Here is a 27284-nt window from a genome sequence, read left to right as displayed (position 1 = left end):
TTTTGATCTCACTTCAGAACAGCTTCCTAATTCTCTGTTAGGTTTAGTTATCCCCCCTACCCCCAAACAAGGTTTAGTTATTCCTCCTACTCCCACCAAACAAAACAAAACTAAGTTTGACACAGTTCTAAGGGCAAATCCATTCCTGCACAAGTGGCATTTTAAAGGTTGTGTCTTACCAGAAAGGGCAGGAAGAAACCTATGAGAAAACAGAATGATGTCAATAAACATGGAAGTATTCTGGGTAGTCTTATGTCATTAGTCTCTTCCTGTTCCATATTTTAACACTTATAAAAAAGACTTTATCCAGTAATCTGTGTACTAAGTACTAGAAAAAACAATTATACATGCATTATTTCACTAATCATCCTAATCACCATGCAAGGTGAGAAAACTGAGAATAATAGAGCTTTATGACAAGCAAATGTGGATGTAACCCTTTATGTCCAAAATTATAATTCTAAGAAGCTTTAATCAAAAAGCTTACATTAGGCCGGGTGCAGTGGCTCACACCTGTAATGCCAGCACTTTGGGAGGGCAAGGTGGGTGGATCTCTTGAGCTCAGGAGTTTGAGACCAGCCTGGCAACATAGCGAAACCCCATATCTACAGAAAATACAAAAATTAGCCAGGTGTGGTGGTGGGTGCCTGTAGTACAAGCTACTCGAGACGCCGAGGCATGAGAATTGCTTGAACCTCAGAGGCAGAGGTTACGGTGAGCCGACATCATACTGCAGCATGGGTGACAGAGTGAGACTCTGTCTCAAAAAAAAAAAAAAATTAAATTTTGCTTTGATGTTTTTGTATCCAGAATGAATTGCCTTTGTCACGCAGAGTGGTGAGCGCGACCAGGGTTACAGTTTGGTAAAATGACTGACCGAGTGATATGTTGTAATGAAAAACGTGTGTGCCAAAGAAGTCAACAATCTTGAGGGGCTAATCTTGGATTATGTAACTTTGTGGAAGTCATTTCCTTCTTTGGAGAAGTCACTTCCCTATCATCCCCCACCAAAATGGAAGGCATCTCCAGCTATAGGCGTTCATGAGTCTCTAGTTGGACATACAGGCTGAATCTACTTCAGCAAAGGTGGACAGACCTCTGAGACCAGCCAAGGACTTTTGAAAGTGAAAGGAGGCTGGGTGCGGTGGCTCACGCCTGTAATCCCAGCACTTTGGGAGGCTGAGGCAGGGAGATCACCTGAGGTCCGGAGTTCAAGACCAGGCTGGCCAACATGGTGAAACCCTGTCTCTACTAAAAAAAAATACAAAATTTAGGTGTGATGGTGCATGCCTGTAATCCCAGCTACGTGGGAGGCTGAGACAGGAGAATCACTTGAACCTGGGAGGCAAAGGTTGCAGTGAGCTGAGATCATGCTACTGCACTCCAGCTTGGGCAACAGAGTGAGACTCCGTCTCAAAAACAATGTGGAAGGAGCAGCTAGTCATCTGTCCTCAATCTCATTTCTAAAACACAGGTGTTGGATTCATAGCATCAGATTTTCATATTATATTTTGTTACCCACACTCATTAATGGTCTTGAGATGGGGTCTTGCTCTGTTGCCCAGGCTGGAGTGCAGTGGCGCAATCTTGGTTCATCGCAGCCTCCACCTCCCCGGGTTCAAGCGATTCTCTTGCCTCAGTCTCCCAAGTAGCTGGGATTACAGGTGCCCACCACCATGTCCAGCTAATTTTTGTATTTTTAGTAAAGACAGGGTTTCACCATGTTGGCCAGCCTGGTCTCAAACTCCCGACCTCAGGTGATCCACCTGCTGCAGCCTCCCAAAGTGCTGAGATTACAGTCGTGAGCCACTGCGCCCAGCCCAGTCAATGTATTTTGAATAAGTGCTTATGGAAGCTCTTTTATTTCTCAACACTGTGAAAGACTTTATCAGTTGTCACCAGACATATTTAGTAGCAGAGTGCTAAATCATAAGCTCCTTCTGCCTCAGTAGTCAATATTATTATCCTCATATAGCATTTGGCCCTGCTTCAGGTTCTATGCACTGATCCAGATGTTTATGTGAAGCAAATTACCAAAACCTTGAAAAATAATTTTCCTTCAAACATCAGTCCCTATGTGTCATTTACATCTAATTCTTGGGTATTTTCAAGGAAAAGTTCTTGGTTGGAATTTGTCAGATTTTGCATTGGGATTAAAGCTAATCAGTTTTGCACGTATGTGCTGTCTCAAGAATTGATTTCCTGGAAAGTAGTGCTCTCTTGAATTTGCTTTTTTTTGTTTGTTTTTTTGAGATGGACTCTCACTCTGTCCCCCATGCTGGAGTGCAGTGGCACGATCTTGGCTCACTGCAACCTCCGCAACCTGGGTTCAAGCAATTTTCATGTTTTAGCCTCCCGAGTAGCTGGGATTGCAGGTGCCCCCCACCACGCCCGGCCAATTTTTGTATTTTTAGTAGAGGCGGGGTTTCGCCACATTGGCCAGACTGGTCTCAAACTCCTGACCTCGGGTGGTCTGCCCACCTGAGCCTCCTAAAGTGCTGAGATTACAGGCGTGAGCTACCATGCCTGGCCTTGAATTTGCTTTTCTAGTGAAGCATTAGGGAGAAACTCTTCAAATCTATCGTAAGTGCTAACGTTTATATAATACTCTGGAATTTACAAAGTAGCTACTTACAGCATTATCTCATTTAATCCCCACATTCCAGGGGTCGTTGGAATCCCCATTTGTAGACATAGAAACTAGGAAATGAAGAAGTTAAGTGACTTGCTCAGGGACTAATGACTAATAGAGGCAGAAGCAGGACTCAAGCCTTGGTCCTCCAATTCCAAATCTTATGTCTTTTGCACTATCCCATACTGCCTGTAAGTTTTCTTCCTTTGTTTTAAAGCCATGATTTGTGGTCACCTAAAAATGCGTGGAGAGTCTGACCCTTCATAAGCAAGATCTCATCAACTTAATAATAGTTACTGGGACGTAATATCACCATGGCCACAGTACTCAATGTTGGAAAATAACCCTGTGAAATATTTGAACCATTACTCCTATGTGGTTGTTTGGGATACACTGTCTAATCTTTATTTTCAAATGAGGTAATTAGTGTATGGTGTTTGTTTCTGAATCGGGCAGCCAGCAATTAACAGGAACAGGCCCTAGCTAGAAGAGGGCTGTTTTTTCTTCTTTCAGACAGCCAGCTGTGGTACAACACATGAAATTTCCTCTTCGGACTGTCATTTCCAGCAAATGTCCTTCATTTCCTTTGCTCTGATGCCCCATCCCTCTGTTAGGGGTGGGGCGGGAGGCAAGTTATTGCATCCTAGTAGAATCCCCTGGCCAGATGGCAGTGGTTCATGCCTGTAATGCAGCACTTTGGGAGGCCAAGGCAGGAGGATCACTTGAGGCCAGGAGTTCAAGACTAGCCTGGGCAACATAGTGAGACCCTGTCTCCAAAAATTTTAAAAATTAGCTGGGCATGGTGGTATGCATCTGTAGTCCTAGCTACTCTGGAGGCTAAGGTGGGAGGATCCCTTGAGCCTAGGAGTTTGGCGCTGCAGTGAGCTATGGGTATACCACTGTACTCCAGCCTGGATGGCAGAGCAAGACCCTGTCTCTTAAAAAAAAAAAAAGAAAAGAAAAAAAAAGAGCCAGGCGCAGTGGCTCATGCCTGTAATCCCAGCACTTTGGGAGGCCGAGGCGGGCGGATCACAAGGCCAGGAGATCGAGACCATCCTGGCTAACACGGTGAAACCCCGTCTCTACTAAAAATACAAAAAAATTAGCCGGGCTTGGTGGCGGGCGCCTGTAGTCCCAGCTACTCTGGAGGCTGAGGCAGGAGAATGGCGTGAACCTGGGAGGTGGAGCTTGCAGTGAGCAGAGATCACGCCACTGCACTCCAGCCTGGGAGACAGAGCAAGACTCCGTCTCAAAAAAAAAAAAAAAAAAAAAAAAAATTGCCGGGCACAGTGGGTCATGCCTGTAATCCCAGCACTTTGGGAGGACGAAGCAGGCAGATCACCTGAGGTCAGGACTTCAAGACCAGTCTGGCCAACATGGTGAAGCCCGTCTCCACTAAAAATACAAAAATTAGCTGGGCGTGGTGGTGTATGCTTGTAGTCCCTGCTACTCGGGAGGCTGAGGCAGGAGGATCACTTGAACCTGGGAGGCAGAAGTTGCAGTGAGCCGAGATCATGCCACTGCACTCCAGCCTGGGTGACAGAGTGAGACCCTGACTCAAAAAAAAAAAAACCACAAAAACAAAAAAATAATCCTTGGAAGAATTAAGAGTTAAATTTCTGTGGCAGCAATGTAAGTCTAACCAGGTGGGCTCACCGCCTACTGAGAAGAGTCATCTAGCACTAAAACATCAAAACTAGCCTGGGTTCCTGCCATGCCTTTGGTATGGGGCATCAGTTTTTTCTCAGGATATGATCAGTATTTCCCCTCCGGGGACTTTGCAGTTGGCACAACTATTTCTTTTCATTTTTGACTGCAATTCTAGTCTAAATAGTCTCATGGGCTCTGGCTCCACTCATGTCATTCTAATCTCAGGCAGCCAAGATCAGATACTGGGGTATCTCTTTACTGGCAGCCCCAGACTTGAACTTTGGAAATTGTGGGAAATTCCATTCTTCGGGCACGTAGAACTTGTGACTCTACCATGGAAGAGTTTCTACCATAGAAAATTTTTCCCTGCTGAGTAGAAATGGCATCAGAATAATATGGAGAAAAGCATAATGAAAATAGTCCTTTATGTGTATATGATATTTTACTGCTTAAAAAGTGATTTTATGTTTATTGTCTTGTTTTTTCCTCCTTATAACCCCAGGAAGCAGACTGGCAGAGTGGTTAAAGAATATCAATTCTGGATCTGTATTGCCTTAGTTTAAATTCAAATTCCAACATTCATAGCTATGGGCAGTTTAATTCATTCCTCAGTGCCTCAGTTTCCTCACCTATCAAATTTAGACTTATAGGCTTGTTGTGAGGATTAAGTGAGATTAAACTTAGAATAGGGCATGGCAAAAGTTGTTATTGAGAGTTGTTATTGTGTAAGTAAGAAAACCAAGGCTCAGAAATTAGGGACATTGGACTGAGATTCAAACTCAGATTCTCTTTATTTTGGGCCCATTCTGTCGACTGCATCTCAGCTGCCTCTGAAACCAATACCATGTAATTTTTATACTTGTACTGATGTATATAACTAGTTTTGATCCTTAGGAACTCTGGATCTCCTCTAATTATTTATTTTTATTTTTTCCATCTCTCCCCTTAACTCCCCACAGAGACGACCTTAAGTGGACAGAGATTCTAGAACAGGAGAAATAAAACAGTAAGTGCTAGGGGTATAGTAGGCACTCTTGGAACACAGGGAAGCCTCACAAGTGGGGGAAAGGAAGAGTAATTGATAGATCTGGAAAATAAGCCATTCCTTGGTGCCACTCAAAAACATGAGTGTACATCCTTATTTGCTACATTGGTTGTGGCAGGAAGTTGTAGTAATACCTTAATTTCATCTAAAATTGATAGCAAACGTCCTCCTAATTGGCTTGTAATTGGTGTATCCTTTGGATTGTGTCATTATTTAACTTGAGCCCTCTCTGTATCCACTGAGATTCCAGTGGAAGTGGGGATGGTAGAGAAGAACAGATTCAAGAGATACTTGGGAGAAACATTTAATTCTAACAAAGACTCTGAGTCATCAGGGCGGATACTAGTATCATTAGTCTTCTGGAAGAGAAATGATTTGCATAAGGTCATAAATGATCAAACTTGAATTCTGGGCTTTTGACTGCAAGCATAAAGGTTATCCCAACACACTGTATTCTCCCCATGCAGGTAGGAGAATGTTCCAAGTGATGATCCTGGTACGTAGGCAGTAGTGCTTAGTGTTGGACATTTTACTCATGAAGAGATGTTACAGATTGGGCAGGTTCCCTTTCCTGTAAATAAGGAACAATCGTTAGCTTTTTAGTAATTCTCTTTCTATTTTATTTAGGCTATCGTTTGGGAGCAATGAGTTTAAAACCCTTTACCTACCCGTTTCCAGAGACGAGGTTTCTTCATGCAGGACCCAATGTGTATAAATTCAAAATCAGATATGGGAAGAGTATCAGGTAATTTCAAAGGTAGGAGGGTAGCCTATGCAAACACCAGTTAGTGCTAGTGCATTCCCACAGGTCACCTCTTCTTTACCTTCACCCAGTTCAGGAGACTGGTAAAGTAGCATCTTGCAGGACTGTCTTTCCCAGGAATTTTATATTCAGTATATATATTATTCATATGAGTTTCTAAATGAGGGACAACTTTTTTTTTTTTTTTTTTTTTGAAGAGAAGCAGATCTCGCTATGTTGTCCAGGCTAGTCTCAAACCCCTGTCCTCAAGCAGTCCTCTCACCTCTGCCTCCCCAAGTGTTGGGATTATAGGTGTGAGGCACCACACCCAGCCTAGGACAACATATCTTTGAAGCAGTGTTTCTCAAAATTTTACATCTCAGGGCTGGGCATAGTGGCTCAAACCTATAATCCCAGCACTTTGGGAGGCCAAGGTGGATGGATCACTTGAGGTCAGGAGTTCAAGACCAGCCTGGCCAACATGGTGAAACCCCATCTCTACTAAAAATACAAAAATTAGCCAGGCATGGTGGTAGGAGGCTGAGGCAGGAGAATTGCTTGAACCTGGGAGATGGAGGTTGCAGTGAGCTGAGATTGTGCCACTGTACTCCAGCCTGGGCCACAGAGTGAGACTCCATCTCAAAATATATATATATTTTTTCATCTCGACTCCCTTGCAATTTTTCTTTCTTTTTTTTTTTTTTTTTTTCTCCCAAGACAGGGTTTCACATGTAGTGGTGTGATCACTGCAGCCTTGACCTGCTGGGCTCAAGGGATCCTCCCACCTCAGCTTCCAGAGAAGCTAGGACTACAGGCATAGTGCCACCACACCAGGCTAATTTTAAAATTTTTTTTGTAGAAATGAAGTCTCACTGTGTTGCTCAGGCTGGTCTCAAACTCCTGGGCCCAAGGGATCCTCCCTCTTTAGCTTTCCAAAGTGTTGGAATTCCAGGCATGAGCCACCAGCACCCACCTTGCACTCTTTAAAATTATTAAGGACCCTAAAGAGCTTTTGATTAATCTGTCAATATTTGTCATAAAAATTAAAGCAAAAATTTGGCCAGGCACAGTGGCTCACGCCTGTAATCCCAGCACTTTGGGAGGCCGAGGTGGGGCGGGGGGGTGAATCATGAGGTCAGGAGTTCGAGACCAGCCTGGCCAACATGGTGAAACCCCGTCTCTACCAAAAATAAAAAAAAATAGCTGAGCATAGTGGCAGGCACCTGTGATCCCAGCTAACCAGGAGGCTGAGGCAGGAAAATTGCTTGAACTCGGGAGACGGAGGTTGCAGTGAGCCGGGATGGTCCCACTGCACTCCAGCCCAAGCAACAGTGTGAAACTCTGTCTTAAAAAAAAAAAATCACAGCAAAAATTTAAAGCAGTGTGTTTATTAATTTAAGAATAATATATGCAACAAATACGGTATTATTAAAGTTATATTTAGTGAGCCAGGCAAGATGGCTCATGCCTGTAATCCCAGCTATTCAGGAGGCTGAGGCAGGAGAATCGCTTGAACCCGGGAGGTGGAGGTTGCAGTAAGCCGAGATCTTGCCACTGCACTGCATTTGATCAAACCCAGCATCTCACCTTTTCATGATAAAAACAGCTGGGTTCAGTGGCTCACATCTGTAATACCAGCACTTTGGGAGGCCAAGTCAGGCAGATCGCCTGAAGTCAGGAGTTCAAGAGCAGCCTGGTCAACATGGTGAAACCCTGTCTCTACTAAAAATAAAAAAATTAGCTGAGCATGGTGGTGCAGACCTGTAGTCCCAGCTACTCGGGAGGCTGAGACAGGAGAATCAGTTCAACCTGGGAGGCAGAGGCTGCAGTGAGCAGATCGCGCCGCTGCACTCCAGCCTGTGCAACAGAGTGAGACTGTCTCAAAAAAGCAAAACAAAACAATAAACTAGAAATCGAAGGGAACTTTTGGCTAGGTGCAGTGGCTCACTCTTGTAATCCCAGCACTTTGGGAGGCTCAAGTGGGAGGATTGCTTGAGCGTAGGAGTTTGAGATCAGCCTGGGCAACAAAGTGAGACCCCATCTCTACAAAAAATAAAAGAAATTAGCTGGACATGGTGGTTTGCACCTGTGATCCCAGCTGCTTGGAAGGCTAAGGCAGGAGGAATCGGTTGGCCCCAGGGAGTTGAGGCTGCAGGTAGCCATGACTGCACCACTGTACTCCAGCCTGGGGAACAGAGTGAGACCTTGTCTCAACTTCAAAAAGAGAGAAAAAAAAAATCAGGCCAGGCGCGGTGGCTCACGCCTGTAATCCCAGCACTTTGGGAGGCCGAGGCAGGCGGATCTTCTGAGGTCAGGAGTTTGAGACCAGTCTGGCCAACATGGTGAAACCCCATCTCTACTAAAAATATAAAAATTAGCGAGGCGTGATGGCGGGTGCATGTAATCCCAGCTACTTGGGAGGCTGAGGCAGGAGAATCGCTTGAACCCGGGAGGCGGAGGTTGCAGTGAGCGGAGATTGCGCTATTGCACTCCAGCCTGGGCAACAAGAGCGAAACAACATCTCAAAAAAAAAAAAAAAAAAAACAGCTTATATGTATTTGTAGTTTGGAAAGGTAGGACTATATTAGTAGCCCTCTCAGATCATTGTGGATATTCTTTGACCCTGTGACAAAACTGGACAAATCGTAGTTTGGGTTTGTTTTTTTTTTAATGGTAGTTATTTTTAAGATTAGTTGCAATGTGGAATCTGAAATTATGTCATGAACTTTTTGAACTCTGTTACATTAAAATCCACTGGTCTTTGTTGTTCTTTGAATGAATATTTGACCTAGGATGATTTTTGTTTTTGTTTTGTTTTGAGACCGTGTTTCACTCTTGTCACCCAAGCTGGAGTGCAATGGTGCGATCTTGGCTCACTGCAACCTCCACCTCCCGGGTTGAAGTGATTCTCCTACTGCAACCTCCCAAGTAACTGGAATTACAGGCGCCCGCCACCACGTCCAGCTAATTTTTTGTATTTTTATTTTTATTTATTTATTTATTTATTTGAGATGGAGTTTCATTCTTGTTGCCCGGGCTGGAGTGCAATGGTGCAATCTCAGCTCACCAAAACCTCTGCCTCCCGGTTCAAGCAATTCTCCTGCCTCAGCCTCCCAAGTAGCTAGGATTACAGGCATGCACCACCATGCCCAGCTAATTTTTTATTTTTAGTAGAGATGGGGTTTCTCCATGTTGATCAGGCTGGTTTCAAACTCCCGACCTCAGGTAATCCACCCACCTCGGCCTCCCAAAGTGCTGGGATTACAGGCGTAAGCCACCGCACCGGGCCTTTTTTGTATTTTTAGTAGAGACAGGGTTTCACCACGTTGGCCAGGCTGGTCTCGAACTCCTGACCTCAGGTGATCCACCTGCCTTGGCCTCCCAAAGCGCCGGGATTAACAGGCGTGAGCCACTGCGCCTGGCCTGACCTAGGATGATTTTGTAACATGATGTGTTTCACTGGTCATTTGGAATATTTTGGTTCACTGAATTATGCACATCCTCCAAATATTGATACATTTCATTATACAGTATCGAAAAATATTTGTTAATATCACCACAGTCTTAAAAGTGTTGACGTATTTGGAAACTGTCAAACTCAAAATGGTGGACGGAAATTTTCCAAAATTTAAATTTTCACTTGAAAGCCCAAAATTTATTGTTGACAACAAGTATTGTCAGTTCTTTTCCTTGAGTTGACATGCCTATTTTATTGATTTTTAAGAAAGTGTCTGTCAAACTTCCAAGTATGAATAACAACCATAGTTTGTCTGTTAGCTGATCATTCAAGTAAAATATTCCATGAAGAAAAGCAGACAGTTCAGTTTGCAGCTTAAACAGTCACACAAGTGAGTTTCCCTAAAATAACTATCATATTTTGGTATGCAGCAGAAGCGCTTTATGCATACTTCGTGTTTTATCACATAACATTTAAAGAGACATGTAGTTAAAGATTGAGATTTTATAAAATGATTGCTTTTTTTTTCTGCTTCCTCAAGGATATTCAGTGAAACTGGATTTTTTTTTTTTCCTATGCAGCAGTAAAGATTTCTTTGACTGATAGTACAGCCTAGTGCAACTGGCTAGATTTGTTTTAAGGCATTGGCAATTTTGCCCACCATTGCTTTTGCAATCATGGTTACAAATATTAACACAGTGAGAAAGGCAAATAATACCTTAGTATTATTATGAAAATAGTTTTACCCTTGAAGACCCATTGAAAGGGTCCCCAAAGCACACTTAAAGTACAACTGTTGTAACCAATGATTAACTTTCACAGTGGGAATTTCAGGTCTTGGCAGGTTGAGAAGTCATTTTATACCAATGTTCAGACCACGCCACCTAGGTGATCACTTCTTCCCCATGAGCACTGGGTCAGCTTACACAGTTTTACTTATGTCATGTTTCTTTAGCTCAGTGGAAGTGTTATTTTTGCCCTAGTAGAGTCTACTCTCTCCAGAGCTTTCCTTCATGTCTTACTTGTCTCTTGTCTGTTTACCTTCTAGAGGAGAAGAGATAGAAAATAAGGAAGTCATCACCCAGGAGCTGGAGGTAGGGAAAGAAGCATACGACTTCTGGAAAAGTTACTCTTTAAGGATGCATCCACATTCAGGTTTTAATTATTTCCTACAAACTGAGTCACAACCTCCACTTGATAACTTGGCTTCCTCCTGCTACATCTCCTTTGCAAAGGAACTTTATGTTTTTCCATGGGAATTTAAAGCCTGTATTCTTTCTCAGTTTTCCTAGTTGAAATGTCAGCACCTTTGAGGCTGAGAGCTTTTTGTTTTCACCAGTTTCCAGCCTTGGGCAGCTCTCTTTTGTTGCAGCTGGCATAGAGAAAGATTCCGGAGGACTGCCTCCTTCCAGGGCTCTGGGAAACCTCACCATCCCAACCACTGCCTGGTACTTGACGTTCAGGAAACTCGACTGTAAATACACAGACAAGGCTGCTGTGTCTTCATTTAAATTGGCAACATTTGCAATTGCCTTATTCCGACTTCATTTTCATTCCTTTCTACCCGGTTCCTCTAGCTTTAGGTTTTCCTACAGAAGAAGACTGAGCAGGTGATCAACTTTACAAATTGGTGGAAGCAATGGACAAGGAGTTAGAGTTCTGGGGGTTGGCCCTGGATTCCAGTCCTGGCATAGCCACCACTTAGCTGTGTGACCGTTGGCAAATCATATATCAACTTGGATCTTAATTGCCTCATTTGGAAAATGAGAGGTCTAAACTAGCTTTTCCTCTTCTGACTTCACAATTCGGTAATTTGTGACTATTGTGATTTCTTAAGACATATGCCTCCACATTTCAAAGCAATTAAATACACTTAAACACAAAACTCTGTGAAACCAAAACTGAGTCATACCCTTAAGAAGGTACCTCTTTGGCTAAGTGTTAAAAGATACATTAGGATCTTGCAGGACCCTCAAGGATATCATTATGAATAAGTTATTTTAACATAGGACCAAGAAAATGTTCTACCTGGTTTTTTGTTTGTTTGTTTGTTTGTTTTTTGAGATGGAGTTTCGCTCTGTCACCAGGCTGGAGTGCAGTGGCACGATTTTGGCTCACTGCAACCTCCATCTCCCAAGTTCCAGCGATTCTCCTGCCTCAGCCTCCCAAGCAGCTGGGACTACCGATGTGCACCACCACGCCCAGCTAATTTTTGTATTTTTAGTAGAGACGGGGTTTCATCATGTTGGCCAGGATGGTCTCGATCTCTTGACCTCGTGATCCACCAGCCTCGGCCTCCCAAAGTGTTGGGATTACAGGTGTGAGCCACTGCACCCGGCCATTCTACCTATTTTAATTATGAGCAGAGCAGGCTTTATTTCACTTTGCTTCAGTTAACCTGAGCAGTGAAAAGCTCACGGAAGCATAACAGAGAGGAGGGAACACAGACTTTAGAGCCAGTCAAACCTGGATTTGAAGTCTCCATACTAGGATAGTGTCTAGCTTCTAATTATAATAGCTAATATTTATTGAGTAATTACTATGAGAAGTGTTCTGCCATTCACAGTTTGACTTCGGGCAAAGTACCTACCCTCCCTGAGTCTGTTTCCTTACCTGTCAAATGAGGTTAATAAAGAAGGCCTGTTTCAAGACTGAGGATTAGAAATAGATGTCTGCAATGCCTGCCACACAGTAGCTCAATAATTAGTAGCTCGAGAGTATTTACATTCAACGTATGTCATATTTCCAAGGTGCATTTGATATGCATATGCATCTTTCTCTTATGCTCACTAGTTTGGGGTCAGATGTTATCATTCTCTTTTCTTCATTTAGAAAACACTTACTGAGGCTGGGCGCTGTGGCTCACACCTTTAATCCCAGCACTTTGGGAGGCCGAGGCAGGTGGATCACCTGAGGTCAGGAGTTTAAGACCAGACTGGCCAACATGGCGAAACCCCGTCTCTACTAAAAATACAAAAATTAGCTGGGTGTGGTGGCACGTACCTGTAGTCCAAGCTACTCAGGAGGCTGAGGCAGGAGAATTGCTTGAACCTGGGAGGCGGAGGTTGCAGTGAGCCGAGATCGCACCACTGCACTCCAGCCTGGGCAACAGAGTGAGACTCCATCTCAAAAACAAAAAAAGAAAACATTTACTGAGAAGCAGGCTAGCCTAGGGGTTAAGACTAGGAGCTCTGGAACCCTGCTGCCTTGGTTCAGATCTTGGCCCTGCTATTTCTAGTTATGTAACCTAGACTACATTTTTTCACCTCTCTTTGTCTGTTTCCCCGTCTGTAAAATGGGAATAACAGAATTGCCTCACAGGGTTTTTGTGAGAGTTAAATTAATTAATATGTATAAAAACACAGCCGGGCTCTGTGGCTCACGCCTGTAATCCCAGCACTTTGGGAGGTCAAGGCGGGTGGATCACCTGAGGTCAGGAGTTTGTGACCAGCCTGGCCAACATAGTGAAACCCCATCTCTACCAAAAATACAAAAGTTAGCCAGGTGTGGTGGCAGGCACCTGTAATCCCAGCTACTTGGGAGGCTGAGGCAGGAGAATCGCTTGAACCCTGGAGGCAGAGGTTGCAGTGAGCGGAGACCAAGCCATTGCACTCCAGACTCCAGCCTGGGCAAGAAGAACAAAACTTCATCTCAAAAAAAAAGGCCGGGCGTGGTCGCTCATGCCTGTAATCCTAGCACTTTGGGAGGCCAAGGTGGGCAGATTGCCTGAGCTCAGGGATTTGAGACCTGCCTGGACAACATGGCGAAACCCCATCTCTACTAAAAATACAAAAAATTAGCTGGGCGTGGTGGTGTGTGCCTATAATCCTAGCTACTTGGGAGGTTGAGGCACAGCACTGCTTGAACCCAGGAGGTGGAGGTTGCAGTGAGCCAAGATTGTGCGGCTGCACTCCAGCCTGGGTGACACAACGAGATTCTGTCTCAAAAAAACAAAAAACAGTAACACTTCCCATAGTAATTACTCAATAAATATTAGCCAGTATAATTATAAGCTAGACACTGTGCTACTATGGAGAATACAAAGATAAACAAGACACAATATCTTTTTTTTTTTTTTTTTTTTTTGAGACAAGGTTTTGCTCTGTTGCCTAGGCTACAGGGCAGTGATGCAATCATAGCTCACTGCAGCCTCGACCTCCCAGGTTCAGGTGACCCTCCCACCTCAGCCTCACAAGTAGCTGGGACTACTGGCGTGTGCCACCACACCCAACTCATTTTTGTATTTTTTGTAGAGATGGAGTATTGCCATGTTGCCCAGGCCAGTCTTGAACTCCCGGGCTCAAGCAGTCCACCTGCCTTGGCCTCGCAGAGTGCTGGGATGACAGGCATGAGCCACTGCGCTGGCCACAGTTTCTATCTTCTTTGAACACAAACATGAGAACACTGAAGCTTAGGGTGAAATGACAAGGCTGGGATTGAAATTGAGACTTTTTTCCCCACAGAAATTTAGTAGTCTTTATGATGCCAAATTAATTAGTATAGACTAATAAGCATATAGCTTAATTAGGGACTAATCGATTAAAATTTAAAGTGAGTGAAAAAAAGGTTTGACTTAAACAAAAGCAAAATACTGTATATCAGTTAATACCAGTATTATTCATTCATTCAATGTACATTTAGTGAGGACTTGTTATGCATTATTCATGATGGTAGACACCATAGAAGGGATACTAAGATAAGTCAGGTGTATATTCTACTTCAAGTAGATCTCCCAGTAAGGAATATAAAACATTTGTATGTGGAATGTAGTAAAGACTCCAGGCTAACTACTGTGAAGTTTGATACTAACAATTATAACTTGGTAAATCAGGGAAAGATTTCTGGAGGAGATGCCTTTTGAACTATGCCTGAAAGGATAGGTCGGATTTGGACAAGTGCTGATGGGTGGAAAGGGCATTTCAGGAAGAGAAATTCCCTTTCTATGCAAAAGCATAGAAATGGAGAAGCGGGCTGGGTGCAGTGGCTCATGCCTGTAATCCCAGCACTTTGGGAGACCGAGGAGGGCAGAGCACTTGAGCCCAGGAGTTCAAGACCATCCTGGGCAACATGGTGAAACCACATCTCTACAAAAAATAAAAAAATTAGATGGGTGTGGTGGTGCACGCCTGTAGTCCCAGTTACTGGGGAGGCTGAGGTGGGAAGATCACTTGAGCCCAGGAGGCAGAGATTGCAGTGAGCAGAGATCATGCAACTGCCCTTCAGCCTGGGCCACAAAGCACGACTCTCTCAAAAAAAGAAAGAAAGAAAGAAAAAGAAATGGAGAATCAGAACACGTGTTAAAGGAACAGCAAATAGTTCAGTTTTGATAGTGTATAGGGTATGTGAGTAGCAGTGACAAATATAAACAAAGACTGGCTGAGACTCAACAGTGTTAAAGTCATTTCAAATATGTTTTTCAGGATTCTGTCCGCGTGGTCTTGGGAAACTTGGACAATCTTCAGCCCTTTGCTACAGAACACTTCATTGTATTTCCCTGTATCCTTTTTTTTTTTTTTTTTTTGAGATGGAGTCTTGCTCTGTCACCCAGGCTGGAGTGCAATGGCATGATCTTGGCTCACTGCAACCTCAGCCTCCCAGGTTCAAGCGATTCTCTTGCCTCAGCCTCTCCAGTAGCTGGGATTACAGGCACATGCCACCACACCCGGCTAATTTTGGTATTTTTAGTAGAGGCGCTATTTCACCATGTTGGCCAGGCTGGTCTTGAACTCCTGACCTCAGGTGATCCACCCGCCTCGGCCTCCCAAAGTGCTGGGATTACAGCCATGAGCCACTGCGCCCAGCCTATCCTTTCTTTTCTGGCTGGAAATGAGCTACAGCTCACATTTTAGACTCAAATGGACGTAGCAAAACCATAGGCAGTTTGGAGGGTAGGTCAGGGGAAGGAGAGAGAGTCTCATCCCTAAAATAGTACTTAGGAATGCATACTGGCATCTTTCCTTACTCCTTAGCACCATTTTCCAGATAAAAGCAAATGGGAGAGAGTTTCCCACCTGAAATTCAAACATGGGGAAATTATCTTGATCCCCTACCCATTTGTTTTTACTCTATATGTGGAGATGAAATGGTTCCATGAAAACCTGTCACCTGGTAAGTGGAATGATGTGAATGTGGATGGCAGAGAAGAAAATGGTTTAGCTGTGCCAGCTAGGTATCGCGAAAGGGGCTACCAGATTAGGCTCCAGCCATACAGTGCACAGGTCAGGATCATGTGCTCCAGGCCAGACTGACCGGTTCAAATACTGGTGGTCCTGCCACTTAATGGCTGTGTGAAGTTAGATAAATTAATCTTTCTATGCCTCCCTTGTGAAATGGTGAAGAATAATATTACTACCTATATCATTGAGTTGTTAAAAGGATTAAATAGTAGTAGATGAAAAGTACAAAGCCTGACTTAATCACTGAATGAAAGATAACTATTATATAAACCCTTCCATTAGAGAGAATTCTATGATTTTCACTTTAGAGCTATCTTAAAGGTATCTCCCAATTTTATTTTTATTTAGACAGGGTCTCACTCTGTCACCCAGGCTGGAGTACAGTGGTGTGATCATAGTTCACTGTAACCTCTAACTCCTGGGCTCAAGTGATCCTCCTGCCTCAGCTTCCCAAGTAGCTAGGACTATAGGTGTGTGCGACCATCCCCGGCTAATTTTTTTTTTTTTTTTTTTAGTAGAGACAGGGGTCTGACTATATTGCACCGTTGGGTCTCAAACTCCTGGGCTCAAGCGATCCTCCCACCTCGGCCTCCCAAAACACTGGGATTACAGGCATGAGCCACTGTGCCTAGCCCAAATTTTTATTCTCTGAAGGCCATGGGTGTTTTTGTTGATTGAGGGACAAGTAAACACCTACCCTTTTGATTTGAAAAGGGGTGCAGGCTGGGCATGGTGGCTTATGCCTGTAATCCCAGTACTTTGGGAGGCCGAGGCAAGAGGATCACTTGAGGCCAGGAGTTCAAGACCAGCCTGACCAACGTGGTGAAACCCCATTTCTACTAAAAATAAATTTAGCCAGGCGTGGTGGTGTGCGCCTCTAATCCCAGCTACTCAGGAAGCTGAAACAGAAGAATCGCTTGAACCCGGGAGGCAGAGATTGCAGTGAGCTGAGATCACGCCCCTGCACTCCAGCCTGGGCGGCAGAGCAAGATGCCATCTGAAAAAAAAAAAAAAAAAAAAAAAAAAAAAAAAAAATATATATATATATATATATATATATATATATATATATGATGTAGCCCGACATGGTGGTGGTGCATGCCTGTAGTCCCAGCTACTCTGGAGGCTGAGGGAGGAGAATTGCTTGAACCTGGGAGGCAGAGGTTCTGGTGAGCCAAGATCACACCACTGCACTTCTGCCTGGGCAACAGAGCTAGCTCTGTCTCAAAAAAGAAAGAAAAGAAAAGGGGTGCAAAGGCCTTGCCTCAAAATATCTCCCCTTTTCATTTGTCACAGGTAGCTGAAGTTCTACCTTTTTTCTTTTTTAGTAAGGATCGTCCCCTCCCTTTTCAAACCCTTTCTAGCTTGTAGATTACAATCATTCTGAAACAGGGGAGGAAGAGAGTTTGAAGACACTATTTTTAGGGAAAATAGTACCAGGTAGAAGGGAGAAGGGCACATGAGGAGTCTTTGTCTGGGGTCAGTTCCAAGAAATAAATAGTAGCCAGAAGTCCAGGTAAAACAGCATCGTGGCTAGGCCTGGTGGCTCACTTTGGGAGGCCAAGGCAGGTGGATCACCTGAGGTCAGGAGTTTGAGACCAACCTGGCCAACGTGGTGAAACCCCTCTCTCTACTAAAAATACAAAAATTAGCCAGGTGTGGTGGCATGTGCCTGTAGTCCCAGCTACTCGGGAGGCTGAGGGAGGAGAATCGCTTGAACTCAAGAGGCGGAGGTTGCAGTGAGCCGAGATCGCACCACTGCACTCCAGTCTGGGTGACAGAGAGAGACTTAATCTCCAAAAAAAAAAAAAAAAAAGTCTTAAATCTATTATGACACTCAAATTTCCTATTGTAGGGAAACCAATAAGTGACAGTCCTCTTGGGTTGGTAAGTTTGCCTTTTCTGTACAAAATGAAAATTGCCTTTATCACCTTCTTTTTTCCAAAAAGTCCTGCTCTTGCCTCTTCCCCTTACTTTGCCCTCAGTTGCTGCCCAGGTCCAGTCAGAATTGTAAACATAAGACCATATTTTCCCCCTTGGCTAGATTTCTGAGACCATGTCTCTAACAGAATGTCTATTCTTACTTGCAAAGCTGGTGTTAAAAGTTGCCTTTGGCAGTTTAAGGATGGGGAGTTTTCTTCACTGTGCCTTCATGAACTGTGAGCAACTCTGGAAAGGAGGAGTCACAGGCATCTGCTTCCTCCTGAAGGTCCCAGTTGAGAAGAAAGCAGTAGGAGCTGTGATGAGGAAACGAAAACACATGGACGAGCCCAGCTCCCCCAGCAGGCCAGGGCTGGACAGGTCAGTGGTGTGGGGAGAGAGGCTCGCTCCTGCGTCCTAGTTAGGCTTTGCCAGCTATTACTGTTGGTTGATCCTGTCCTTGGGCGAGTCACTTTCTTTTGCAGGACTTCATCAGTATCTGCCTATTACAGTGGGTGGACTAAGGAAAGGGAGCAAGTTAATATTTACAATATAATTTGAACACAGTCCCTTTTTCAGCAAAGTACGATTTTTCTTTTCAAGATGAAGGCTAAGAAGAAATACAGTCCGATCTAAACAATTGAATTCAGCACATTCAATAATACTTACTATGTTAATATCACCAGAAGGCACAGGACTTATGAAGTCTCAGAATATTTACAAAAACATAGGGAAACTCTTGAAGGAGTAAGAACAAATAAAATATAATTCTATTTTACCCAGTGAGCAGTTAGCTTTTGGAACCTTAAGAGGCAGTCCAGACTAAAATATAAATGTTTGCAAGAGGGTATGTATCAATCATTGGGTGGGGTGCTGTGATATTAGGGGGAATGTTGAGTACATCCCTAACATATTTTTATTGTGGAGGCTACTTATGTTCTTCTTTCAATTCTCTATCAGGAACAAAATGAGTCAGTAAGACAATTCAGTCATTCTTATTAGCACCCTAGAAAGCTAATAAGAATGCTGCTGGAATAATCCAAGGTGTGGTTTGTTCCCTAGCCCAAGATGCTTCCACCCTAGGCCCACAGAGAACAGCTACCCTTTTCCTGGGACTCTGTGGACCCCTAGACATACAGGAGAAATAAGGTAGACCACTAGGAAGCTGACCCCATGCTCTCCAGATGCACATGTAGGTGAAGAGGTAGGGAGCTCCTTTCCAAGCCAGGTGGAATGTGAGGGTACTTGGAGGTATGAAGCTTTGCTTTGTTCCATTCGACTGAATTTTCCATGCAAATGAGGTCTCAGATCTTCCCTTTCTCTGGGTTTTGATGCACAGTCAAGTATTTCAAAATCTGATACCTGCTGTCAATCACATTTTCACTTTCTCAAACCCCAGATCCCTAAGTGTCTCAAACTGGGATTCTGCTGTGAAGTAAAGCAGCACCCAAAGAAAATTTGGCCACCCAATTTATTCTGCCAGCCAGGAGTAGTATAACAATAGCCAACCTGCTGAAATATTCATTTGGGCCACATTTGCTTGAATGTAGTGATATTGCCTCTGCCAGTAACATTTCCTGCATATTTTCCCCCCACCTCAGGGCCAAGATAGGGACTTCCAGCCAAGGCCCCAGCAAAAAGAAGCCCCCTGTGGAAACCAGGAGAGTAAGTACTAAAATGGAGCCTTAGTACTAAAATGGAGCCTTCAAGGCTATTAGCTATTCCTGTTCTGTTACAAGTCAGGATTCCGGTTACCAGCACATCTTGGTTTTTCGTGCAGATTGAATTGACTGAACTCATTCTTGGGTTTCACTGTCTGCAGAATAACATTCAACTATTATGCCCTTGCCACAACGCATCCCAAAGTGGCTGCATAATACACGCATCGATGAATTTTTTTGTTAAAAAGTCCTCTCTTTGCCTGGTACGGTGGCTCATGCCTGTAATCCCAGCATTTTGGGAGGCTGAGGCAGGCGGATCACCTGAAGTCAGGAGTTCAAGACCAGGCTGGCCAACCTGGTGAGACCCAGTCTCTACTAAAAATACAAAAAATTAGCCAAGTGTGGTGGTGGGCACCTGTAATCCCAGCTACTCGGGAGGCTGAGGCAGGAGAATCACTTGAACCCAGGAGGCGGAGGTTGCAGTGAGCTGAGTTCGTGCCACTGCACTCCAGCCTGGGCAACAGAGTGAGACTCCATCTTAAAAAAAAGAAATCCTCTCTTCTCAGCTTAAAAAGCTACCTGTACTCTGTAGTTGAAATAAGAAAATATGTCTGTATAGAATTGAGGTGGGATCCAGTATAGAATTTTCCCTTTAGGAAACTTTTTGCCTTCATCTACACTGGGGTCTGAGTCTAGGAACATCTAGTTTTTGTTTTTTTGTTTGTTTGTTTGTTTTGAGACACAGTCTCGCTCTGTCGCCCAGGCTGGAGTGCAGTGGTGCGATCTCGGCTCACTGCAAGCTCTGCCTCCTGGGTTCACGCCATTCTCCTGCCTCAGCCTCCCGAGTAGCTGGGACTACAGGCGTGTGCTACCACGCCTGGCTAATTTTTTGTATTTTTTAGTAGAGACGGGGTTTCACCGTGTTAGCCAGGATGGTCTCGATCTCCTGACCTCGTGATCCACCCGCCTCGGCCTCCCAAAGTGCTGGGATTACAGGCGTGAGCCACCGAGCCCAGCCGGAACATCTAGTTTTAACAAATGAGCTAGGCATGTATCAGCACTGATAACTGGTAAGAGAAAACTTCTAGAGCAGTGAAGGGCTGGCCCCTGATGGAATTAGATTTCATTTATGGGGTATGTTTCCCATTTAGATATTCATATATCTGATACCCCTCCTCCATTTCAGGACTTCTTTTCTATATATTCTCTAAAATAGTGACCTTTTTCTTTTCCTCCCCTCTTTAAATAGCTGTTAGCTGGTATCCATGCCTTAAAGATCCTTCCTTTTTTTCTCTATGTCTCCAAAGTTGCTGTGACCCTAAGTATCCAAACACAAACAACTCACTTTCTTCACCTTCCCAGGACTCATAACATGAGCAGTTATCGAGTAAACATTTACATGTGCATTCATTCAACAAATTTTTTTTTCATTTTTGAGACAGGGTCACACTCTGTTGCCCAGGCTGGAGTGCAGTGGTGCAATCTCAGCTCACTGCAACCTCCACCTCTCAAGCTCAAGTGATCCTCTCATTTCAGCCTCTGGAGTAGCTAGGACTACTGGCGTGTGTCATCACACCTGGCTAATTTTTGTATTTTTTGTAGAGATGGGGTTTTGCCATGTTGCCCAGAATGCATTCAACAAATTTTCATTGAGTGTCTACTATGTGCCAAGTACCAGGGATACACCAACAGTGTACAGTTAGGCAGACAATTACTGATAGATGTGCCATGTGCAGGGGTAGAAGGAAGCACAGGATACAAAGGGAGCATAAAGTGGCCAGGAGGGAAGGATTCTCAGAGTAGCTTAAAGTCCAGTGCTGAGAAATGTTACTGGAGAAGTCCGAATGGACTGTATCATGAAAAGCCTTGAGACTACCTTCAAGATCACAGGAATTCTGTAAAACATTTTTAAGTAGAAAACTGAAGTTATTTTCATTTCTAAAGGATTGTTCTGTCTCCTGCTCACAAGGCATTGTGTTGGGTGCTGGGGCACACACAAACATATGTAAACCCTGATTTCTTTTTTCTAGGAGCTTGTAATTTAGTTGGGGAAGGAGTGTATCCTTGGGGATTTATACCTCTGCCTCTGTGTGCAGGGGCAGAGTCCAGGGCCCCAGTTGTGCTGTGGCCAGCTGGCCCACTGAGTGATTTTGGGCAGATAGTCAACCCCTTCTATGCCTCCCATCCTTTAGGGGGTAAGAAAAAGAAATGAGAAAGTACATGAGGAGTACTTGAAGCTCTGGAGAACAAAGACACTTTATACAACCAAGATAATTACTATTAAAGGAACATTTTCCTCGCTCTCTACCCTTTGTATCTTCCTATTCTTAGTTTGACACATCATCTCCCTCAAGAACAGTACCCACAGCTTCTTACTCAACATAATTACCTTTTCAACCTGATTCTGGCTTTAGAAAAAACTCTAGTAAAAGGAACATGTTTATTGATTTTGACTCAAGGCCTAAAGACATTCACCATCATGGACCCTGTTCCCAGGAAGATGATTTCTCCTAAATTAAGGTGATCACAGTGACTCTCAGTGTAAGTCACTTGAGCTGGAAAAATTGAATTTGCTCCTATGGTCCATTGCTTAATATGTTCTGCCCCCTTTGCAGGGAGTTAGGGTGTAGGATCACAGTCACTGTGCATGTGCGTGTCTGAACACATTGGGAGCCTGTGTGGCGAAAGCTTAGAAGAATATAACACGTACCTCTGTTTCATAAGAAGTGTTTAGGGACAATGGGAAGGAAGAGAAAACCCCCTTGCCTTTGTTACTTCAGGTCCCAGATCTAGAGATCCAGACTTTGGAAGGATAAAAAATGGGAGGGAGCAGATGAATGGCCCAGAAATGAAACAGAGTAACTGCACGTCGCATTTTGTTGTTGTTGTTGTTTTGCTATATCTGTTCGAACTGCACTTGTAAACAGATCTGGTCCTGAACATACGGAGGACAGTCTTGCATCAGGTTTTCAGAGTATTATGTTCTGATGGAGGTCCCAGATGATACCTTCAGTCTGAATTCCAGCTATAATGTTTTCTCTCTCTTATGACTTTTTCTTGAGAAGACATCTCTCAAGATTTTGGGAGATCACAAAAAGGCTACAGTGTCTTGTGAGGAGACTTTTCCCTGGTTCAGCGGTAGGCTGTACCTCTGTCCCAGGGCCTTTGCCCTCCTGTTCCTCCTCCCACCCTTAATAGATGCTTTCATTAGGGCTACTGTATGCAGCAGAATTAAAGCCCCAAACCATAGTTTCATTAAATTTGTAAGAATCATTCCCTCAAACCAGAAACCAGAGCTTGGCCCTCTAAATTCCATCTCCACTCTCTATAGAAAAGGTAAGAATGGTCTTCTTCCTCCCCAGAGTTCCCTGTTGCTTTTATAGGAATATGACTTCGGTGGCTGCCCATGTGGTCTGGGATTTGAGCGGTTTGTGAGGAGGCTTAGTTCAGAGATATCTGCCATTCTAACCCGAAGTTTATTCTTAGGATGGGGGCTAGTCCTAGCTTTTCTAGAGACTTGCCATGCCTCTGCCTCCCAGAACCTACCTTTATAGTCTGCAGCCCCTTGCTGTAGAACTCTTCGCCATGGGAGCTAAGCTATGAGGACGCAAAGGCTTAAGAATGATACAATGGACTTTGGGGACTTGGGGGAAAGGGTGGGAAGGGGGTGAGGGATAAAAGACTATACATTGGGTATAGTGTACACTACTTGGATGATGGGTGCACCAAAATCTCAGAAATCACTATTAAAAAAACTCATTCATGTAACCAGACACCACTCACTCCCCAAAAACCTATTGAAATAAAAAATAAATTCTAAAAAACGGGAAAAAAATTCACAGAACTGCACACCCAAAAGAAAAAAAAAAGAACTCTTCACCAGCAAAACAGCTTGAGGAGCTCCATCACTGCTGGGTAAAGCCCCTAGGTTCTGACTGGGTGAAGAGAGTAGTAGCCAGTGGCAGAGATTCCCAAAGAAAATATAATAACCATATTTCTGATTATCAGGGTGTTTACTGGAAAATGTTGTGGGCCTGGAATCAGGTTGTAAAATGTCCTCTTCAGAGTACAAAGAAATTTCTATAAAGCAGCAGCACATGGAGAAATAATAAGATTGTGTTATATTGTGTTGCTAATGCCACAGTCATGTTTCTACCATGCCTGGCTCTAGCCATGCTGATCCTATTTATTCTTTAATGGCACTGTACCCTCATACATCATGTCCCTGTCTGGAATGCCCTGCTGTGACTGACCATCTCCTCACCCCCGTCATGACAACATCCCACTCATCCATCAAGGCTCCATTCAAATATCACTTCCCCTGTGAAGCCTTCCTTGACTAACACCACCTGCTCCATTAACGTCCTTTCAGCAACCACAGCACTCTATATGGATTCGTTGGGTGGTCTTATCACACTCTTTGTTTTTCTTTTTCTTTTTTTCGAGATGGAGTCTCACTCTCTCGCCCCAGGCTGGAATGCAATGGCGCGACCTTGGCTCACTCTGCCTCCTGGGTTCAAGCGATTCTCCTGCCTCAGCCTCCTGAGTAGCTGAGATTACAGGTGCCTGCCACCACGCCCGGCTGATTTTTTGTATTTTTAGTAGAGACAGGGTTTGACCATGTTGGCCAGGCTGGTCTCGAACTGCTGACCTCGGATGATCCATCTGCCTTGGCCTCCCAAATTGCTGGGATTACAGGCATGAGTCACCATGCCCGGCCATCACACTGTCTTGACTTAGTTTATGTCCATTTTGCTCCATAGATTATACATTTCTCCAAGGTAAATTTAAGGTCCTCCTGATTTCTGAAACCTCAGTGTTCTGTCCTTGGTAATAGTAGGTACTCAGTAACATGGGATGATAAGTTAAACCCAGCTTGATTTATTCTTGGCTCTTAAATCTTATGGTTTTAGAGGGACAGTAGTTTGGATGTTGAAATGAAAAAACGACAGTCCTGGCTGGGCACGGTGGCTCACGCCTATAATTCCAGCATTTTGGGAGGCCGAGGCAGGCAGATCATGAGGTCAGGAGATCGAGACCATCCTGGCTAACACGGTGAAACCCTGTCTCTACTAAAAATACAAAAAATTAGCCGGGCATGGTGGCGGGCGCCTGTAGTCCCAGCTACTCAGGAGGCTGAGGGAGGAGAATGGCGTGAACCGGAGAGGCAGAGCTTGCAGTGAGCTGAGATGGCGCCACTGCACTCCAGCCTGGGTGACAGAGCGAGATTCAGTCTCAAAAAAAAAAAAAAAAAAAAAGAAAGAAAAAAAGAAAAGAAAAAAGGACAGTCCTATGGAAAGAAATGGAAAGAAATATAGAACCTGTCTAGGCAGTCAGAAGCCAGGCCCCAGTGCTGATATGAAATCAGTTCACCAGCAAATAGCATTCAGATTGCCATGCAGTGTAGGAGGAAAGTTTAAGGCTTTTCTTGGTCTTCTTTTTAACAGAATAGGGAAAGAAAAACCCAACAAGGATTGCAGGAGACTCTGGCCTCTGATATCACTGATGTCCAGAAACAAGGTAGGTCCTGGGAAATTTCCATTTATTCTCCTTTAATAATCACCCTTTCCCTTGTAGTTCTCTGATATGTAGAGCAGCACAGAGCTGAGTCTGGGTGCCCTCAGTGGGTAATGTGCCTTGCTCCCGTGGAGGTGCTTGTTAGCCATCCTCTGGTCTGGGGGCCTGTCCTAGAGTAATAGAAGCCCCCCAGCTCCCAGAAGGAGTGAAGGGAGGTAGGGCATGCCCTTCCTCTGCTTCTGATAGTGAAGTTATGCTCTCACTATTTCAAAACATTTCCGAGTGAGGTGATAAACTTTATAGAAATGTTGAGAGGGTTGTGTTTCCCTTTTCTGTACTGTTGGAGAATGATCTCTTCCCTTTGAGGCATTAGAGTTAATATTGAAGTTGCAAATGGATGCTTTGCAAGGGCTGGGAATGCATGTCAAGCTATTGCCCTCCCTACTTGCTGATCTTTTACCCAGCATGAGGATTCAGTGTGGACTGCAGTTATCACAGAAACAGGGATGTAGGCCAGTGAGTCCTTCAACAACTTGTCATTTTATGTGAAGACATACCAGCCAGAGTGCATGGCTGGAACTTGAGCTGTGTAAATATCCCAGGAGCTTGACTGAAAATACTCTGAGGTCAGAATAGCATCTTACTGAGCTGAGATGAAATTGGGAAGGTCAGAACAAACAATTCATCTGGCTTTAAAGAACTCTTGGCGTGAGACTGCCTCTGGCTCATACTGGGTGTTTGGCCTTCTACTCACATGAAAACGGCCTATGGACAAACATCTTGCTCCTGCCTGATTGTTTTCCTTACAGATTCTGAGTGGGGACACAGCCTGCCAGGGCGAATTGTCCCACCCCTGCAGCACAACTCACCTCCACCTAAGGAGCGAGCAGCCACCGGCTTCTTTGGGTTTCTAAGGTAAGACAGCTTCTGTCCGGCATCAGACTCGAGATCCAGCTCAGAGCGGCTCATTGAGTCTTTCAGGGAAATTAGAATAGAAAAGAAAGCAGATTACTTACAGAGGCTTCTCACTTATGTCTAGGATAGATGATGGAAATGAGATTAAGAACAAAAGCCCTAATTGTGCATTTAATAAAGACTGTGTTTTACTTATTTTTACACAACCCACCTCCACCCTGATGTGTCCAGGATAAAGCCAAGCCCCATAAACATTAACTTGGGCCAGGCCGGGTGGCTCATGCCTATGATCCCAGCACTTTGGGAGGCCAAGGCGGGTGGATCACTTGAGGTCAGGAGTTCAAGACCAGCCTGGCCAACATGGTGAAGCCCATCTCTACTAAAAATACAAAATTAGCCGGGCATGGTGCTACATGCCTGTGATACCAGCTACTTGGGAGGGAGGCTGAGGCAGGAGAATCGCTTGAACCTGGGAGGTGGAGGTGAGGCTGAGGCAGGAGAATCTCTTGAACCTGAGAGGTAGAGGTTGCAGTGAGCCGAGATTAAAAAAATAAAATAAAATAAAATTAGCCGGATGTGGTGGAATGTTCTGTAATCCCAGCTACTGGGGGTGCTGAGGCAGGAGAATCACTTTAACCTGGGAGGCAGAGGTTGCAGTGAGCTGAGATCGTGCCATTGCACTCCAGCCTGGACAACAGAGCAAGACTCTGTCTCAAAAAAACCAACCAAACAAAAACATTAACTTGAACAAAGTCTATTCTTAGTTTACTTGAGCCATTCAGATGATTTGGTTACCAAACATTTCCATTCTCCCCTCTGAATCTAGGTTGTGTTTGCAAAGGACAGTTAGCAAATGTCTCTCTCTGTCTCTCTCTCTCTCTGCCATCCCATTGCAATTCTGTTTCTTTATTTCCCCCTCCTGAGTATAATCTAATTTGGGTACCTTTTCAAATGCTATTCAGTCTTGAATTTCCATTCAATGGTTCCCCAGAGCAAAAATGCCCTAGCTAGTGAAGCACTAATGGGAAATGGGGAGAAGGGAAGGAGACCTCATAGAGTCTCAGCCTACTCTGTTCTCATTCTTGCAGCTCTCTCTTCCCGTTTCGATATTTCTTCAGGAAGAGCAGCCACTCTTGAGCCTTCCAAATGCAGCGCTGGAAAGAGGATCATCTCTTGTAGTGACTCCTCCCGAGCCATTCTTCCTCCAACTCTATCCTTTTCTTATGACACTTCAGTCGTGGGGAATGAGGTCCCCATGCTGAGTCCTCTGTGGTTTTATCGTGTCCTTTGCCCCTTTATAATAGATTTTTTCCCCCAATTTAAAACATTAAGAATGGAACTTTCTAAAATGTTCATGTCCTGAGGGCCGGTTTAGGCCTTTTGTCTTCGGCACTTAGGATCCTAATGACAATAAATTATTTATGAAGAGTTATTGATTGAATTTAGTGGAATAGAGTAAAAGAGAACAAATGCTTCCCTCAAGATACAGAGAAAATGCATGAAACTTCCCTAGGTCTACCTGGTTACTATTCACAGGATCACTTTGGGTAGGTGAGTTTGTGCCAGAGG

General features: G+C 44.2%; 1 protein-coding gene across 10 annotated transcripts in view; it reads left to right on the top strand.

Moving 5' to 3' along the window:
* The window catches only part of MAJIN (membrane anchored junction protein), a 33879-nt gene extending 6732 nt beyond the window's left edge, over nucleotides 1-27147 (top strand). For 3 of the 10 annotated variants that reach the window (XM_047426796.1, XM_047426795.1, XM_047426797.1), the window contains exons 2-12: nucleotides 5242-5288; nucleotides 5955-6072; nucleotides 10575-10620; nucleotides 14947-15022; nucleotides 15509-15634; nucleotides 17558-17589; nucleotides 17795-18003; nucleotides 19224-19287; nucleotides 24731-24803; nucleotides 25610-25715; nucleotides 26804-27147. In XM_047426796.1, coding sequence (XP_047282752.1) covers nucleotides 5972-6072; nucleotides 10575-10620; nucleotides 14947-15022; nucleotides 15509-15634; nucleotides 17558-17589; nucleotides 17795-18003; nucleotides 19224-19287; nucleotides 24731-24803; nucleotides 25610-25715; nucleotides 26804-26852 — 882 coding nt within the window. In that variant the 5' untranslated portion in view covers nucleotides 5242-5288; nucleotides 5955-5971 and the 3' untranslated portion in view covers nucleotides 26853-27147. Of the gene's footprint in view, nucleotides 1-5241; nucleotides 5289-5954; nucleotides 6073-10574; nucleotides 11335-14946; nucleotides 15023-15508; nucleotides 15635-17557; nucleotides 17590-17794; nucleotides 18004-19223; nucleotides 19288-24730; nucleotides 24804-25609; nucleotides 25716-26803 lie in introns of those variants that run through there. The other 7 variants (XM_024448447.2, XM_005273918.3, NM_001318808.2 and 4 more) reach the window with 6 other exon arrangements.
* The last annotated feature ends 137 nt before the right edge of the window (nucleotides 27148-27284 follow it).

This window comes from Homo sapiens, chromosome 11 (genome assembly GCF_000001405.40).
Source record: "Homo sapiens chromosome 11, GRCh38.p14 Primary Assembly".
NCBI classification, from domain to species: domain Eukaryota; kingdom Metazoa; phylum Chordata; class Mammalia; order Primates; family Hominidae; genus Homo; species Homo sapiens.
The sequence above is the reverse complement of the archived record's forward strand: the minus strand, read 5'-3'. Positions and strand labels throughout refer to the sequence as shown.